Raw genomic sequence first — 17,737 nt, 5'->3', positions numbered from 1 at the left:
TCTGGGAGGGAACGGGAGATGTTGCAGGCGCCGAGAGGGCGGGCCAGGGCCGCACTCCGGAGACTCGCGGTTGCTACGCGCACCATGGCTGGAGGTACCTGCGGGGGATTCCTGGGGCCGCGGTTCTCTTGGTCCTCTGGGTTGAGGCGTGGCAGGGAGTGGGGTGGCGGAGCGAAGGGGCGTGGCTGAGGGGTCTTCGTGCACACCCTACCGGGAGGGGCGCTGCCAGGTGAGGGGATGCCATGGCGGCCGTGACTCCTAGGCCCCCTCTTCCTGAAGGCTGTCGCGCCCCTTCCTCAGCGCCCACGGTCTCGCTTCCTGAACTCCGTTCACTCCTAGCCTCCGGACGGGCCCGGCTCTTCGACGTGCGCTCTCGCGAGGAGGCGGCAGCTGGGACCATCCCAGGGGCGCTCAACATCCCGGGTATAGGGTGGAGAGGGGACGCCCAGGTGGTGGAATAGAGACCGTTCAGGAGGTTCTTTGCCAATGGGACCTCATTTAGGATGGAATGGGGAAGGCACTGATTATGGGGGTCCTGCATTCCCGGGAGCCAGCCCTCAGCTTCCGTAGGAAGGACTGATGGGGGGCGGATCTTGGCATCGGAACTGGCCCATCCAGTTTGAGAAGACAGCAGGCGGAGAGGAGAGGGGCAGACCAGCTTCTCTTGACCTCCCCAAATCTGGACGCCTGAGGGGGCATCCCGCCCCGCCTCCTCACAGCTTAGGGAGTGGCTTGCATTCAAAAGTTGTCGGTTTCTGTTCCTTGAAATTGGGGTGGGGGTAGGGGATGGTTATCATATGTTGTTTGGGGGCCCCCAGGACCCAGCCCTTCCAGGCCCAGCTTCCGAACCTGAGTGCCAAATTGCTGGCTTTCCCTTCTACCCTCTCCACTCCTCCAGTGTCCGAGTTGGAGAGTGCTCTGCAGATGGAGCCAGCTGCCTTCCAGGCTTTATATTCTGCTGAGAAGCCAAAGCTGGAAGATGAGCATCTCGTTTTCTTCTGTCAGATGGGCAAGCGGGGCCTCCAGGCCACGCAGCTGGCCCGGAGTCTTGGATACACTGGGTACGGGGAGGTGTGGCTGCTAGCTGGGAGGTGATGGGGACTGCCTGTCATTCCTGTCAGTCTCTCACGCTTCTTTGTCTCCACAGGGCTCGCAACTACGCTGGAGCCTATAGAGAATGGTTGGAGAAAGAGAGTTAGGCAGGAGGCAGCTTACTGATTGCCACCCCCTGGCCCCTTAATGGCCACCTTAACTAAGGGTGTGAACGGGCTGACTTGGTGAATTGGGCAACTCCTTATAGTGTTGTGCACACAAAAGCATCAAATAAAGAACATTTAATCAAAGTATTGGAAGCACTTAATGTGTCAGGTGGACTGAAAACAGTTCTAATCTTTATCTAGACCTCAATTCAGCCCTGGATCATCATTTCGCAGCATTCATCTGCTTCCCCCTAGCACTCCCCACATGCAACATTCTAGCAGTTTCCTGAGAGGCTACAATGTACAGTTCTTCTAGAATAGCTGTTTTCAGCCCAGAATGCACATCAGAATCACCTAGTAGGTTTTTTTGTTTGTTTTATTTTTTAATTCAGAATATGGAGGGTGGAGCCTGAGCATTAGTGGCTTTATGGGCCCCTGGGGTGATTCTCATATACAGCCAGAAGCAGGTACCACTGCTGTAGACCAGAGGTCAGCAAACTATGGCCCCAACTGGCTGTGCTGCTGTGAACTTTGGTTATTGTCTATGGCTGCTTTGTCCATGGATTGAGGAGGTGAAAGGGCAATCCCAGGCCTTTGGGTGAGGGAATGGATGGAACCCTTCATCCCTACTGATGTGTCATGCACAGATTACAGGTGTGAGGAGCCTTTCCTGTGCCACCAAAACCAGGTTTCGTTTTTTTTTTTTTTTTGAGACAGAGTCTTGCTCTGTCACCCAGGCTGGAGTGCAGTGGCACGATCTCGGCTCACTGCAAGCTCAGTCTCCCGGGTTCACGCCATTCTCCTGCCTCAGGCTCCTGAGTAGCTGGGACTACAGGTGCCCGCCACCACGCCCAGCTAATTTTTTGTATTTTTTTTTAGTAGAGACGGGGTTTCACCGTGTTAGCCAGGATGGTCTCGATCTCCTGACCTCATGATCCGCCCACCTCGGCCTCCCAAAGTGCTGGGATTACAGGCGTGAGCCACTGCGCCCGGCCTCAGGTTTCTGTTTTTATCAACACTGATCTCTTATACTGGATTTAACAAATTTAATTGGTTGGCCAGGCACGGTGGCTCATGCCTGTAATCCCAGCACTTTAGGAGGCCAAGGCAGCGGATCACCTGAGGTCAGGAGTTTGAGACCAGCCTGCCCAGCATGGTGAAACCCCATGTCTACCAAAAATAAAAAAATTAGCCAGGTGTGGTGGTGCACACCTGTAGTCCCAGCTACTTGGGAGGCTGAGGCAGGAAAATTGCCTGAACCCAGGAGGCAGATATTGCAGTGAGCTGAGATAGTGCCACTGCACTCCAGCCTGGGTGACAGAGAGAGACTCAGTCTCAAAAAAACCAAAATTTAATTGGTTAAAAAGATGAAATTACACATGCTTACTGAAACAAAATTCAGCACTACACAGTAGGTATATGACTTCCCTCTAGTATAGTGTATAGTTTGATGCATAATACATTTTAAATATTTTCATGGCAGAGTTTTTACTTCTTAAGTTTGATTTTTGGAAAATGTATTCCTTAATCTGTGGAAGAGAAGATTGAGTCAGAAATGAATCCAGTTTTCTGATTTTTCATGCCTCTGAAGAACTTCTTTCAGGCATTTCCTGCATTCCTTGCCTGTCTCTCACCTCCTTTTCTTCCCTTCTGCCTTCTCTACTATACCCAGCCCTCCTACATTCATTCATTCATTTATTTATTTTTGAGACGGAGTTTTGCTCTTGTTGCCCAGGCTGGAGTGCAATGGCGTGATCTCAGCTCACCGCAGCCTCTGCCTCCCGGGTTCAAGCAATTCTCCTGCCTCAGCCTCCCGAGTAGCTGGGATTACAGATATGCGCCACCATACCCAGCTAATTTTGTGTTTTTAGTAGAGACGAGTTTTCCCCTCCACAGGTCTTTATTATAATTTGGTTATAGCATTTTATTATTATTATTGGCATAATTTACTTAACAATAAAACGCACAATTCTTGGCCCAGTATGGTGGTTCATGCCTGTAATCCTAGCACTTTGGGAAGCCGAGGCGGGCGGATCTCTTGAGGCCAGGAGTTCAAGATCAGCCTGGTCAACATGGTGAAACCCTGTCTCTACTAAAAATACAAAAATTAGCTAGGCCTGGTGGTGCTCGCTTGTAGTCCCAGCTACTCTGGTGGCTGAGGCATAGGCATGAGAATTGCTTGAACCCAGGAGGCAGAGGTTGCAGTGAGCCGAGGTCACGAGACTGTACTCCAGCCTGGGCGACAGAGCGAGACTCTGTCTCAAAAAAAAAAAAAAAAATGCACCATTTTCTTTTTTTACCCTGTGGTTGGCAGTTTATTTTAAAAAAACAACGCCCCAGTTATCACAGTTTCTTTTTAGTCCATTTTCCATAACAAAAGAAGCTACACAAAATTTGGAGGAAGATACTGTCCTTGCAGACTGACACAGTCTGCAAGAGGGGTCATGAATAATAATGATTTCAAAGCCCCTACTTTAACTCCTGAATTGGGCAAAGAATAAATGACAATATAAGAATGAATTTTGTTTGCAACAATATCATAATATAGCATTAATTATTACAGTGCAGTGGTTGTAATTAAGTTCACAATAAAATATTCTTAACCCAAACACCAGACAAACTAAAATCACTAGACTGCTCATGAACTGAAATGATCAGTGCAAGCAGTTGTTGTCTCAGTAATGAAAACCAAAATTGGAAAGGCTTTTCTGGCAGGGAGTCTCTGACATGAACGGCCCCCTCTCTGTTCATTGAGGCCCAGGCGCCCTCACTTGGAGTCTTGGTCTTTCTTTTAATCTAAAAGGGCAGAACAGAGCCCCAGCTTTTTCAGTTCTTTCACCAGGTACCCATTCTAGTACATATGCATAAGAATGTCACAGCCCCCCACAAACTCGCCATTGAGGTATCCATTGAGGATAGTGGGCCAGTTGGAATAGTCTTTTTTGTTTTTGAGACACAGTTTCGCTCTTGTTGCCCAGGCTGGAGTGCAATGGGGCGATCTCAGCTCACTGCAACCTCTGCCTCCGGGGTTCAAGTGATTGTCCTGCCTCAGCCTCCCGAGTAGCTGGGATTACAGACATGTGCCACCATGCCTGGCTAATTTTGTATTTTTAGTAGAGATGGGATTTCTCCATGTTGGTCAGGCTCGTCTCAAACTCCCACCCTCAGGTAATCCGCCCAGTCTCAAACTCCCACCCTCAGGTAATCCGCCCACCTCAGCCTCTCAAAGTGCTGGGATTACAGGCGTGAGCCACCGCACTCGACTAGAATAGTCTTTATTTTATTTATTTATTTATTTATTTATTTATTTATTTATTTATTTATGAGACAGAGTTTCACTCTTGTTGCCCAGGCTGGAGTGCAAGGGTGCGATCTTGGCTCACCACAACCTCCGCCTCCTGGGTTCAAGTGATTCTCCTGCCTCAGCCTCCTGAGTAGCTGGGATTATAGGCATGCGTCACCACGCCCAGCTAATTTTGTATTTTTAATAGAGACGGGTTTTCTCCATGTTGGTCAGGCTGGTCTCGAACTCCCGACCTCAGGTGATCCGCCCACCTTGGCCTCCCAAAGTGCTGGGATTACAGGCGTGAGCCACCGTGCCTGGCCAAAATGCACAATTCTTAAGCATTCAATTCACTGAATTTTGAATATACTCACTTGTAACCACCATCCTAAACACAATCTTGAACATGGAAATCCCCAGAATATCTCTAGGTGGCCTTTTCTAGTCAATCCCACCCTACCCCCTTTCTAGGTAACCGCTTTATCTTTTATCACCATAAAGTAGTTTTTAGCCAGGTGTGGTGACTCACGCCTATAATACCAGCACTTTGGGAGGCTGATGCAAGAGGATTGCCTGAGGCAAATAGTTCAAGACCAGCCTGGGCAACATAGTGTGACCTCATCTCTGCAAAAAATTAGCTGGGTATGGTGGTGCACGCCTGTAGTCCCAGCTACTTAGGAGGCTGAGGCAGGAGGATTGCTTGAGACCAGGAGGTTGAGACTGCAGTGAGCCATGATTATGCACTGCACTCCAGTTTGTGTGACAGAGTGAGACCCTGTCTCAAAAAAAAAAAAAAAAAAAAAAAAAAAAAAGTAGCCATTTGCTTTCTTCAGGTGTTTTTTTGAGATGGAGTCTGGCTCTGTCACCCAGGCTGGAGTGCAGTGGTGCAATCTTGGCTCACTGTAAGCTCCACCTCCCGGGTTCAAGTTATTCTCCTGCCTCAGCCTCCCAAGTACCTGGGACTACAGGCGCCCACCACCACGCCCAGCTAATTTTTGTATTTTTAGTAGAGATGGGGTTTCACCATATTGGCCAGGCTGGTCTCGAACTCCTGACCTTGTGATCCACCTGCCTCCCAAAGTGCTGGGATTACAGGTGTGAGCCACCACGCCCAGCTGCTTTCTTCAGTTTTATAACTGATGAGGTTTAGAGAGAATCCTGGAAGTAAACGGACCTGGCTCATTACATAACCATGCCCTCTGGCTTGATCAACATTAAGAGAACATTCCTCTTTCTCCTTCATTAGCTGTTTGGTTCATAACCCCGATAGGCTGTTCCAAGCCATTATCTTGCCTTTTAAAATTCTCTTTCCCTTTCCTCACAACTATTTCAGCAGGTGAGGTTGAAGTCTTGGAGTTTACCAGCTATATGCACTTCTCTTGCCTTACACCTTCCTTTTCATACTAAATTAAACTCTGCCCTTTCATCCTGTATCTCTCCCACGTTTATATTTACCACAAATGTGTGTCATCATTTCTATTACACCACATTTTTCTTGTTCATTTGTTTGTCTCTCCTAATTGATTGTGAGTTTCTCAAAGGGAGGGACTGGCTTTCACTTTCTTACCTCCAGTGCCTCAAACATGACTTCTCAGTAGGTGTCTGCTGAGCCTCACTAGCCTTCCGACCTTCAGAATCTTCTAATTTCAGCCTTTCTGAAGAATCACTGCCTGCCTGATCTTAAAATAACATTTTTATCTTAGTCAGAATTGATAATTTATAATAGGTCCTTGTTGTCTAGTGGCTCAAGCACTTGTCTCAGCCTGGCCTTTTGAGCAATCTGTAGTCTAGATCTGGTGTCACCTTGCCTTTCCAAATTTATCTTCCAGTGGCTGCTCCCCACAAGCTGGTTTTCTTCGTGTCCTAAGTAGGCCCTACTCCTTCCTGACCCTGGCCTTTACTTGCCATTTTCCCTGTTTGGGAAGTTTCCAGTCTCCTTTGTACCACTCTGAATTTCACAAGAATTAGCAGAATTTTTTTGGCATGAGACTTGTTGTTTTCATCAAGATGGCTTTTAAACTGAAGGAGAGGGGAGAAAAATAACCAGATAAAATTATATAGCTGAATTCCATGAAGGACATAAGACATGGGAAAAATGGATAAAGTATGTACCTCTATTGTAGCACTTATCACATTGCATGGTTCTTCCCACTTTAGACTGAGCTTTCTAGACCAGCTTATTGAAGTGGGTGGGGGTGAGGGGGAGCAAAATAGCCTGAGCTCTCTAAGAGGAGGGACTTTATTTTATTATTGTATGGCCAACAGTAAAACTATAACCTGGCATATGAGAGGTACTCAGTAGGAAAATATATACTGTATGATATGAATCATTTAAAAAGTGTTGAGATTTGCTTTATGGCCAGTTTTTGTAAATGGTCACTGAACACTTGAAAAGAAGGTGTATTCTGCAGCTTTTGGGTGCAGTGTTCTATATATGTCGGTTAGGTCCAATTTACTAAATTATGTTGTTCAAATCTATCTCTTTTTTTTTTGGCCTTCCTTCTCCCTTCCCTCCCCTCCCCTCCCCTTCCTTTTCCTTCCCTTTTTCTTTCTTTCTCTCTCTCTCGTTTTTTTTTTTGAGACAAGGTCCTGCTATGTTGCCCAGGCTGGTCTTGAACTCCTGGGCTCAAGCAGTCCTCCCACCACAGCCTCCCAAGGTGTTGGGATTACAGGCATGAGCCACTGAACCTGGCCCAAGTCTATCTCTCTACTGATTGTTTTTTTCTGCTTGTTCTACCAGTTACTTACAGAGGTGTATTTAAATATCTCACTATGATTTGGATTTGACCATTTTTCTTTTTAGTTCTGTTCAGTTTTACTTTATATATTTTGGAGGCTATGTTATTTGATGTATACAAATTTAGAATTGTTATGCTTCCCTCCTGGATTGATCCCTTTCTCACTGTGTCCCTCTTTATCCCTGGGGATGCTTCCTACCTTCAAATCCATTTTATCTGCTATTAGTACAACTATACCACTTCGATTTTGGTTAGTATTTACATGAGAAGTAATAGATCATGCCTCCTGAAATTCATATTAACCAAAGGAAAAAAAAACCACTAAGCACAGTTAGACACAAGAAATAGACTACAGCAAAACAGATTTTTAAAATTCAAAGAAAATACATGTTGAGCTCATGGCCAGAGACTTTAAAGTGAAGATAAGCCAAGAAAATGGAAAATCCTAAGAAACGAGGCCTGATGGTATTTCCCAATAAGAAATCCTTCCAGCTCATTCTACTAGCATTTCCATTCCTAATCATATGCTTGAACCTATCAAATCCTTCAATTAATTGACCTTACCAAATTTTTACAACTTTCCTCATGCCCATATTTTCCTCCTAATTGAGTTTAGATTCTATACATGATTCGTAATTGTCATCATTCCTTTGCATAACTAGGAATATACTTATTAAGAAAGTTCAAGACCTGTATGAAGAAAGTGGTAAAAATACAATAAAAAGACCTAAAATTAGACTTGTAAAAATGAAAAGACTGGGCTGGGTGCGGTGGCTCACGCCTGGAATCCTAGCACTCTGGGAGGCCGAGGTGGGTGGATCACTTGAGGTCAGGAGTTCAAGACCAGCCTGGCCAACATGGTGAAACCCTGTCTCTACTGAAAATACAAAAATTGGCCAGGCGTAGTGGTGCATGCCTGTAATCCTAGCTACTAGGGAGGCTGAGGCAAGAGAATCGCTTGAACCCAGGAGGTGGAGGTTGCAGTGAGCTGAGATCGTGCCACTACATTCCAGCCTGGGCAACAGAGCGAGACTCTGTCTCAAAAAAAAAAAAAAAAAAAAAAAAGAAAAGACTTAAAAGGTTCTTGGATAGGAAGACTCAACTTTGTAAATATATCATGATGTTTAGTTGAAAACAAGAATAACCAGAAAAGCTTGAAAAAGAACATCAATGAGGGGCATCAAGCCCCACCAGCTATTCATATATATCAAGCTTGTCCAACCCACGGCCTGTGGGCCACACATGGCCCAGGACAGCTTTGAATACAGCCCAACACAAATTCATAAACTTTATTTATTTATTTAGTATTTATTGATCACTCCTGGGTGTTTCTCGGAGAGGGGGATTTGGCAGGGTCATAGGACAATAGTGGAGGGAAGGTCAGCAGATAAACATGTGAACAAAGGTCTCTGGTTTTCCTAGGCAGAGGGTCCTGCTGCCTTCTGCAGTGTTTGTGTCCTTGGGTAGTTGAGATTAGGGAGTGGTGATGACTCTTAACGCGTATGCTGCCTTCAAGCACCTATTTAACAAAGCACATCTTGCACTACCCTTAATCCATTTAACCCTTAGTGGACACAGCACATGTTTCAGAGAGCACGGGGTTGGGGGTAAGGCTATAGATTAACAGCATCCCAAGGCAGAAGAATTTTTCCTAGTGCAGAACAAAATGGAGTCTCCTATGTCTACTGCTTTCTACACAGACACAGTAACAATCTGATCTCTCTTTCTTTTCCCCACATTTCCCCCTTTTCTATTCGACAAAACCGCCATTGTCATCATGGCCCGTTCTCAATGAGCTGTTGGGTACACGTCCCAGACGGGGTGGCGGCCGGGCAGAGGGGCTCCTCACTTCCCAGACGGGGCTGCCGGGCAGAGGCGCCCCCCACCTCCCGGACGGGGTGGCTGGCCGGGCGGGGGCTGCCCCCCACCTCCCGGACGGGGCGGCTGGCCGGGCGGGGGCTGCCCCCCACCTCCCGGATGGGGCGGCTGCCGGGTGGAGGGGCTCCCCACTTCCCAGACGGGGCGGCTGCCGGGCAGAGGGGCTCCTCACTTCTCAGGGCGGCCTGTCAGAGACGCTCCTCACCTCCCAGACGGGGTGGCGGCGGGGCAGAGACACTCCTCAGTTCCCAGACGGGGTCGCGGCCGAGCAGAGGCTTTCTTCACATCTCAGAAGGGGCGGCGGGGCAGAGGCGCTCCCCACATCCCAGATGATGGGCGGCCAGGCAGAGACGCTCCTCACTTCCTAGACGGGATGACGGCCGGGAAGAGGCTCTCCTCACTTCCCAGACTGGGCGGCCGGGCAGAGGGGCTCTTCACATCCCAGACGAAGGGCGGCCAGGCAGAGACGCTCCTCACTTCCTAGACGGGGTGGCGGCGGGACAGAGGCTGCAATCTCGGCACTTTGGGAGGCCAAGGCAGGCGGCTGGGAGGTGGAGGTTGTAGCGATCCGAGATCACGCCACTGCACTCCAGCCTGGGCAACATTGAGCACTGAGTGAGCGAGACTCCGTTTGCAATCCCGGCACCTCGGGAGGCCGAGGCTGGCAGACCACTCGTGGTCAGGAGCTGGAGACCAGCCCGGCCAACACGGCGAAATCCCGTCTCCACCAAAAAATACGAAAACCAGTCAGGTGTGGCGGCGCGCCTGCAATCCCAGGCACTCAGCAGGCTGAGGCAGGAGAATCAGGCAGGGAGGCTGCAGTGAGCCGAGATGGCGGCAGTACAGTCCAGCCTCGGCTCGGCATCAGAGGGAGACCGTGCAAAGGGGAGATGAGGACCGTGCAAAGGGCAGAGGCAGAGGCAGAGGCAGAAACTTTCTTAAAACATTATAAGATTTGTGTGTGTGTGTGTGTGTGTGTGTGTGTGAGTCTGGAGTGCAGTGGCACAATCTTGGCTCACTGCAACCTCTGCTTCCTGGGTTCAAGTGATTCTCCTGCTTCAGCCTCTCGAGTAGCTGGGACTCCAGGCACTTGCCACAATGCCCACCTAATTTTTGTATTTTTAGTAGGGACACCGTTTCCCCATTTTGGCCAGACTGGTCTCAAACTCCTGACCTCAAATAATCCACCCGCCTTGGCCTCCCAGAATGCTGGGATTACAGGTGTGAGCCACTGCACTCAGCCAGTGTTAGTGTATTTTATGTGTAGCCCAAGACAATTCTTCTTCCAGTGTGGCCCAGGGAAGCCAAAAGATTTGACTCCCCTGAATATATGATTCATTAGCTGGGCTTGGTGGTACATAACTCTAGTCCCAGCTACTCAGAAGGCTGAGGTGGGAGGATTGCTTGGGACCGGGAGTTTGAGGCTAGCCTGGACAACATAGTGAGACCCCTGCCTCTAAATAAATAAATGAATGAAATGAAATGAAATAAATTCTTAGTAATTAAAACAACGTGAATGGATATACAGATGGGTTTTGTAACCCATACGCTATACTAAGATAAATTTCAAATGGATGAAAGATTGAAAGTAAAAAATGTCGGCTGGGCATGGTGGCTCATGCCTGTAATCCCAGCACTTTGGGAGGATGAGGCGGGCAGATCACTGAGGTCGGGAGTTCGAAACCAGCCTGACCAACATGGAGAAACTTTGTCTCTACTAAAAAAATACAAAATTAGCTGGGCGTGGTGGCGCATGCCTATAATCCCGTCTACTCAGGAAGTTGAAGCAGGAGAATTGCTTGAACCCAGGAGGTGGAAGGGTGGGCCGAGATTGCGCCATTTCACTCCAGCCTGGGCAACAAGAATGAAACTTCATCTCAAAAAAAAAAAAAAAAAAAAAAGGCCGATTGTGGTGGCTCACACCTGTAATCCCTGCACTTTGGGAGGCCGAGGCAGGTGGATCACGAGGTCAGGAGATCGAGACTATCCTGGACAACATGGTGAAACCCCATCTATACTAAAAATACAAAAATTAGCCAAGCGTGGTGGTGCACGCCTGTAATCCTAGCTACTTGGGAGCCTGAGGCAGGAGAATTGCTGGAACCCGGGAGGTGGAGGTTGCAGTGAGCCGAGATCCCACCACTGCACTCCAGCCTGGGTGACAGAGTGAGACTCTGTCTCAAAAAAAAAAAAAAAAAAAAAAAATTAGCCAGGCATGGTGACAGGCACCTGTAGTCCCAGCTACTTGGGAGGCTGAGGCAGGAGAATGGCATGAACCCGGGAGGCGGAGCTTGCAGTGAGCAGAGATCGCGCCACTGTACTCCAGCCTGGGTGACAGAATGAGACTCCGTCTAAAAAAAAAAAAAAAAAAAAGAGAAGGCAAAAATGTAAACTATTAAGAAGAAGACCTCTGGTATGGTTTGGCTGTGTCGCCACCAAAATCTCATGTTGAATTGTAGCTCCCATAATTACCACATGTTGTAGGATGGACCCGGTGGGAGATAATTGAATCATGGGGACAGGTCTTTCCTATGCTATTCTCATGATAGTGAATACATCTTACAAGAACTGATGGTTTTATAAAGGGGAGTTCCCCTACACAAGCTCTCTTGCCTGCTGCCATGTAAGACATGACTTTGCTCCTCATTTGCCTTCTGCCATGATTGTGAGACATCCCCAGCCATGTGGAACTGTGAGTCAATTAAACCTCTTTCCTTTATAAATTACTCAGTCTCACGTATGTCTTTATTAGCAGCATGAGAACAAACTAGTACAAACTCTTTCATTACCTTAAAGTGGTGAAAATATTTCTAACTATGACTCAAAATTTAGAAGCCATAAAAGGCTGATAAAGAACAAAACAAACAAGCCAAAGCCTTCTGCATGGGAAACAAACACATCTGCAGAAGTCAAGCCAAAAGAGAAACAGCAAACTGGGGAAATCAATTCAGAGCATATGCAAATAGCTAATTCCTTGGATATATAAAGAACATGTACAAATGGATCAGAAAAAACAACTATCCTAATTAAAAAATGAGCAAAGCATATGAAGGGACAATTCACAGAATACCACTGGCTCTTTTTTTTTTTTTTTTTGGAGAGACAGTCTTGCTCTGTCACCCAGGCTGGAGTGCAGTGGCATGATCTCGGCTCACTGCAACCTCCACCTCCCGGGTTCAAGTGATTCTCCTGCCTCAGCTTCTCAAGTAGCTGGGACTACAGGCATGCACCATCATGCCCAGCTAATTTTTGTATTTTTAGTAGAGACAGGGTTTTACTATATGTTGGCCAGGCTGGTCTTGAACTCCTGACCTCAGGTGATCCATCTGCCTCGGCCTCCCAAAGTGCTGGGATTATAGTCGTGAGCCACTGCACCCAGACACAACTGGCTCTTAATCCAGGGAGATGCTCAGGTCACTTGTAATAAGAGATATGCAATTTTTTTTTTTCTGTTTTTTTTTTTTTGAGACGGAGTCTCCCTCTGTCACCCAGGCTGGAGTGCAGTGGCACGATCTTGGCTCACTGCAACCTCCGCCTCCTGGGTTCAAGTGATTCTTCTGTCTCAGCCTCCCAAGTAGCTGGGACTACGGGCGCCCGCCACTACGACTGGCTAATTTTTGTATTTTTAGTAGAGACGGGGGTTTTACCATATTGGCCAGGCTGGTCTCGAACTCCTGACGTGATTCACCTGCCTTGGCCTCCCAAAGTGCTGGGATTACAGATGTGAGCCACCACGCCCAGCTTCTAACACCCTTCTCTAGTGTGTATCCTTTTTTTATGAGACAGAGTGTCACTCTGTAACCCAGGCTGGAGTGTAGTGGTGCTATCTCTGCTTACTGTAACCTCTGTCTCCTGGGTTCAAGTGATTCTTGTGCCTCAGCCTCCCGAGTAGCTGAGATTACAGGCGTGAGCTACCACGCCCAGCTAATTTTTATATTTTTAGTAGAGACAGGGTTTTGCCTTGTTGGTCAGGCCGGTCTTGAATTCAAGTGATCCGCCTGGCCTGGCCTCCCAAAATGCTGGGATTATAGGTGTGAGCCACTGAGCCCAGTCACTAGTGTGTACCTTTTCAGTCTCCACTTCTCCCTACTCTCTAGATTTCCTAAACTTCCTTTTTCCTCTGCACTCTAAGCTAATGAGTTTACCTCTGAAGAAATCAAAGAAATTGCCATTATCTTCTCACCAACAAATCTACAAGCTGTACCACATGCTTCTCTCGTTGTGGTGGCTAGTTTTCTCTGCTTTCTTTTAACCCTCAACTTGAGCTCAGGATGCCATCTCTTCTCTCCTCTATTACTTGATACCATAACTGTTCTTCCCCCACCCCCTTTTTGAGAGAAGGTCTTGCTTTGTCACCCAGGCTGGAATGCAGTGGCATGAGCATGGCTCACTGCAGCCTCCACCTCCCAGGCTCAAAGGATCCTCCCACCTCAACCTCTGGAGTAGCTGGAACCACAGGCACTGCCATGCCCGGCTAATTTTTTAATTTTTTTTTATTTTTTATTTTTTGTCTCTCTCTGTTCCCCAGGCCGGTCTGGAACTCCTGGGCTCAAGCAATACTCCTGCCTTGGCCTCCCAAAGTGCTGGGATTGTAGGCATGAGCCACTGTGCCTGGCCTCTCTTTTCCACACGATTAATTTCTTGCTCTTTACTGGATCATTGCTATTAGCACACAAGTATTTCCATCTAAACAAAATACCTACTCTGCGTTTATTCAACATCCCTTACAGCTGTTGCTCCTTTTCTCTGCTGGCCTTCTCTGCAGAATTTCAATTGAACTGTCTATAGTCACAGTCTATTTTTTTGTGTGTGCGTGGGGCTGTTGAATAATTCCTTCCATAATTTTCTACTTTACAGACAAACTAATCAGTCTGTAGTTTACAAATCTGTTTTGAAGGACTATGGAAAACAAATGTCAATGACAATGAAATTTTAACATTTATTATACATTTAAGCAACTTTATGGGAAAAAGAATCTGATGAACATCAAATTACTTGCATGCTCTAAAATACCTTCATGCTTTGTAACTGTATATGCAGATGTTTTATATAGTAATAACTGAGGTGCACACTGTTTGTATTTACTTTTTTCATTTTAGTTATTAACAATATTTCATGTATACTTGTCCATTATTAATATTTTCAAAACAGAAAATATAAAATTGAATAGAGATCAATGCAAAATGTACTTTGGTTAAGAAAGAAATGCGGCTGGGCGCAGTGGCTTACACCTGTAATCCCAACACTTTGGGAGGCCGAGTTGGGCGGATCACCTGAGGTCGGGAGTTCGAGACCAGCCTGACCAACATGGAAAAACCCCGCGTACTAAAAATACAAAATTAGCCAGGCGTGGTGGCCTATAATCCCAGCTACTTGGGAGGCTGAGGCAAGAGAATCGGTTGAACCTGGGAGGCGGAGGTTGCAGTGAGCCAAGATCGCGCCATTGCACTCCAGCCTGGGCAACAAGAGCAATACTCCATCTGAAAAAAAAAATGCATAAGTATAGGATGTGGGAGACCCAATTTAACAGTAGTTCAAGTGAAAATAAAGGGCTTACCCATTTTAGTATGCTGTAAATTGAATATAACTCAATAGTGTAACATGGCTATTATTATATTTGTGAATGCATGCTTTTTAAATTTATTTTTATTTATTTTTATATTTTTAAGAGGCAGGATCTTTCTTGTTCCTTTGCCCAGGCAGGAGTGCAGTGGTGCAATCATAGCTTACTGCAGGTTCGAATTCCTGGGCACAAGTGATTCTCTTGTCTCAGCCTCCGGAGTACAGGATTACAGGTTACACCACCATACCCAGCTAATTTTTTATTAAAAAAAATTTTAAATTTAATTTTCTGGCGGGGCATGGTGGTTCACGCCTATAATCCCAGCACTTTGGAAGGCTGAGGTGGGAGGATCACTTGAGCTCAGGAGTTCAAGACTAGCCTGGGCTACATAGCAAGACATCGTGTATACAGAACAAAACAACAAAAACAAAGAAAAGAGAGAGAGAGAGGAAGGAAGGAAGAAAGGAAGGAAGGAAAAGAAAGAAAGAAAGAAAAAATTAGCAGGATGTGGCAACGCCTGTGGTCCCATCTACTCAGGAGACTGAGGTGGGAGGATTGCTTGAGCCCAGGAGGTGGAGGTTGCAGTGAGCCATGATTGCACCACTGCACTCTAGCCTGGGCAACAGAGCAAGACCCTGTTTCAAAAATAAAATAAATAAATAAAGGCCGGGCACGGTGGCTCATGCCTGTAACCCCAGCACTTTGGGAGGCCGAGGTGGGCGGATCACCTGAGGTCGGGAGTTTGAGACCAGCCTGACCAATATGGAGAAACCCCGTCTCTACTAAAAATACAAAATTAGCAGGCGTGGTGGCACATGCCTGTAATCCCAGCTACTAGGGAGGCTGAGGCAGGAGAATCGCTTGAACTCGGGAGGCGGAGGTTGCGGTGAGCCGAGATCGCGCCATTGCACTCCAGCCTGGGCAACAAGAGTGAAACTCCGTCTCAAAAAACAAATAAATAAATAAAAATAAAAATAAATAAATAGGCTGGGCGCGGTGGCTCACGCCTGTAATCCCAGCACTTTGGGAGGCCGAGGCGGGCGGATCACAAGGTCAGGAGATTGAGACCATCCTGGCTAACACGGTGAAATCCCGTCTTACTAAAAATACAAAAAAAAATTAGCCAGGCATGGTGGCGGGCGCCTGTAGTCCCAGCTACTCCGGAGGCTGAGGCAGGAGAATGGCGTGAACCCGGGAGGCGGAGCTTGCAGTGAGCAGAGATCGCGCCACTGCACTACAGCCTGGGCGACAGAGCAAGACTCCGTCTCAAAAATAAATAAATAAATAAAATTTCTTAGACACAGAGTCTTTTCCCTATGTTGCCCTGGTTGGTTTCAAACTCCTGGCCTTAAGTGATCCTCCCCTCCTGCCTCAGCCTCCTGAGTAGCTGGGATTACAGGCACACGTCACAGAGCCCAGCTGTCAGTGTATATACCTTTCTCCAAGACTTTAAATTTCTTTCTTTTCTTTTCTTTTTTTTTTGAGACGGAGTTTCGCTCTTGATGCCCAGCAGGCTGGAGTGCAATGGCGCGATTTCAGCTCACTGCAACCTCCTCCTCCCAGGTACAAGCGATTTTCCTGTCTCAGCCTCCCAAGTAGCTCAGATTACAGGCATGTGCCACCACGCCCGGCTAATTTTTTTTGTATTTAGTAGAGACAGGGTTTCACCACGTTAGTCAGACTGACCTCAGGTGATCCACCCACCTCGGCCTCCCAAAGTGCTGGGATTATAGGCGTGTGCCACGCACCCGGCCAAGACTATTAAGCACCCAGTAGGTGGTTTAAATTGAATGGAACCAGAAGCAGAACTTTGGCCAAAGAGATGGGGACAAAGGAATGAGAGCAAAGGTGAAAAAGGCAAAATGTCAAACAATATCATTCTTTTGGATAAAAATGTGGTCTTTTCCCTTGCAATGAGGTAATGCTAAGGAAGTTTTTTCCCCACAGTCTGCATATGCTTAGTACAGTTAAAATTAAATCATCGTAAAATAGAAACTACAACTAGCAAAGGTGTTGAGCATGAATTTCAATTAAAAATGATGTAGCAATATAAATATTAACAGAAAGTTTGAGTATCAACATTGTCTATAGAAAAAAGGTGGCTTAGTCAGCACACAACTATTAGTCACAGTGAGAAAACAAACAATTCTGAAATGTAGGGACCTGTTCACAGATCAAATATGTGTAAAGGACATATCCAGTCACCCAGAGATGTTTCTAGAGCATGTTCAGCTCAGTTTGTATCATCTGGGTGTGTTTTGTGTACATCTGTTTAACTTTCTTCTTGAGATAACGTAATTCTGCTCTTCCCAAGTTGTGTTGTTGTGGGTTTTTAAATTTTTGTTGTTGTTGTTTGTTTTTTGAGACAGGGTCTGGCTCTGTCGCCCAGGCTGTAGTTCAGTGGCGCGATCTAGGCTCACTGCAACCTCCGCCTCCGGGCTCAAGCCATCCTCCCACCTCAGCCTCCCAAGTAGCTGGGACTATACTGCCCAGGCTCCCATTTTCCAGTTGAGTGCTCCCTTTCCCTTTTTTTTCCCCTTTCTTCCTCCCAGCGTAGCTCATCTCTCAAAGCCGGTGGGGTGGACAGAGGAACAGTTTGGAGGTGGTGCCAAAGTAACATTCCATTTCTCTCCGGGTCTTCTCCCCTACCCTCCCATATTAATATTTGTTTTTTACTTGCCAAGAGGCAGGACCAAAGTTTCTGCAGGACCAAACTGCAGGTGCAGTTGCACCAAGCAACTTACATTCAAACAAACACAAAACCCCAAGCCAAGCCGGTCTCCGTAAATCCCACACCACGACTGCCTTTCCTACTTCCTCCTTAGAGGTACTTCTCAGCCCTCTAGCTCCAACTGAGAACCCAGCCAGTCAGGAAGTCGCTACTTCGGGAACACCAACCAATCAGGGGGCCGTCACCTGCTGAAGGTGCGGAATTCGTCTCCTGACGCGACAGTCTCCTGGGCCAATCTGAGGCAGCTCCTGTGGGGAAAGGCGCCAGTGCGCCGAGGCGGGGAGTGGCGGCGGGGTAACACCTGGCCGAGGTGACTCGTTCTGAAGAGCAGCGGTTCCTTACACC

The 17,737-nt window shown here is 47.1% G+C and overlaps 1 protein-coding gene and 1 pseudogene across 3 annotated transcripts, besides 5 other annotated features; one reads left to right on the top strand and one right to left on the bottom strand.

The window, feature by feature from the left end:
• TSTD1 (thiosulfate sulfurtransferase like domain containing 1) lies at nt 10-1,343 on the top strand. 3 transcript variants are annotated; one of them, NM_001113207.2, is made up of 4 exons: nt 10-94; nt 301-423; nt 899-1,061; nt 1,148-1,343. In NM_001113207.2, exons 1-4 carry the CDS (start codon nt 85-87, stop codon nt 1,197-1,199), a joined length of 348 nt encoding a protein of 115 aa, NP_001106678.1. In that variant the 5' UTR covers nt 10-84; the 3' UTR covers nt 1,200-1,343. The 3 variants fall into 3 exon arrangements, with proteins under 3 accessions (NP_001106678.1, NP_001106677.1, NP_001106676.1); NM_001113206.2 differs by lacking the exon at nt 301-423; NM_001113205.2 differs by having other exon boundaries at nt 899-1,343.
• Nucleotides 32-81: an enhancer, noted in NCBI's record as "active region_1970". NCBI's record gives its function as "activates an Ori minimal core promoter by ATAC-STARR-seq in GM12878 lymphoblastoid cells {active_cell/tissue: GM12878}" and the evidence as "EXISTENCE:reporter gene assay evidence [ECO:0000049][PMID:35858748]".
• Nucleotides 2,809-3,314: an enhancer, noted in NCBI's record as "H3K27ac hESC enhancer chr1:161005450-161005955 (GRCh37/hg19 assembly coordinates)". NCBI's record gives its function as "activates a minimal SCP1, AML or CMV promoter by ChIP-STARR-seq in primed H9 embryonic stem cells {active_cell/tissue: H9 hESC(primed)}" and the evidence as "EXISTENCE:reporter gene assay evidence [ECO:0000049][PMID:30033119]".
• Nucleotides 3,315-3,821: an enhancer, noted in NCBI's record as "H3K27ac-H3K4me1 hESC enhancer chr1:161004943-161005449 (GRCh37/hg19 assembly coordinates)". NCBI's record gives its function as "activates a minimal SCP1, AML or CMV promoter by ChIP-STARR-seq in primed H9 embryonic stem cells {active_cell/tissue: H9 hESC(primed)}" and the evidence as "EXISTENCE:reporter gene assay evidence [ECO:0000049][PMID:30033119]".
• GLRX5P2 (GLR5 pseudogene 2) lies at nt 3,499-4,144 on the bottom strand (annotated as a pseudogene).
• Nucleotides 5,675-6,611: an enhancer, noted in NCBI's record as "H3K27ac-H3K4me1 hESC enhancer chr1:161002153-161003089 (GRCh37/hg19 assembly coordinates)". NCBI's record gives its function as "activates a minimal SCP1, AML or CMV promoter by ChIP-STARR-seq in primed H9 embryonic stem cells {active_cell/tissue: H9 hESC(primed)}" and the evidence as "EXISTENCE:reporter gene assay evidence [ECO:0000049][PMID:30033119]".
• Nucleotides 17,092-17,689: an enhancer, noted in NCBI's record as "H3K27ac hESC enhancer chr1:160991075-160991672 (GRCh37/hg19 assembly coordinates)". NCBI's record gives its function as "activates a minimal SCP1, AML or CMV promoter by ChIP-STARR-seq in primed H9 embryonic stem cells {active_cell/tissue: H9 hESC(primed)}" and the evidence as "EXISTENCE:reporter gene assay evidence [ECO:0000049][PMID:30033119]".

Source organism: Homo sapiens, chromosome 1 (assembly GCF_000001405.40).
Source record: "Homo sapiens chromosome 1, GRCh38.p14 Primary Assembly".
NCBI lineage: Eukaryota > Metazoa > Chordata > Mammalia > Primates > Hominidae > Homo > Homo sapiens.
This window is presented reverse-complemented; position numbering and strand designations above follow the sequence as displayed.

Coding starts and splice junctions, on each gene's coding strand:
- TSTD1 (NM_001113207.2), top strand. Junction 424..898: donor AGGGGCGCTCAACATCCCGG/GTATAGGGTGGA, acceptor CCACTCCTCCAG/TGTCCGAGTTGGAGAGTGCT. Junction 1,062..1,147: donor CGGAGTCTTGGATACACTGG/GTACGGGGAGGT, acceptor TTGTCTCCACAG/GGCTCGCAACTACGCTGGAG.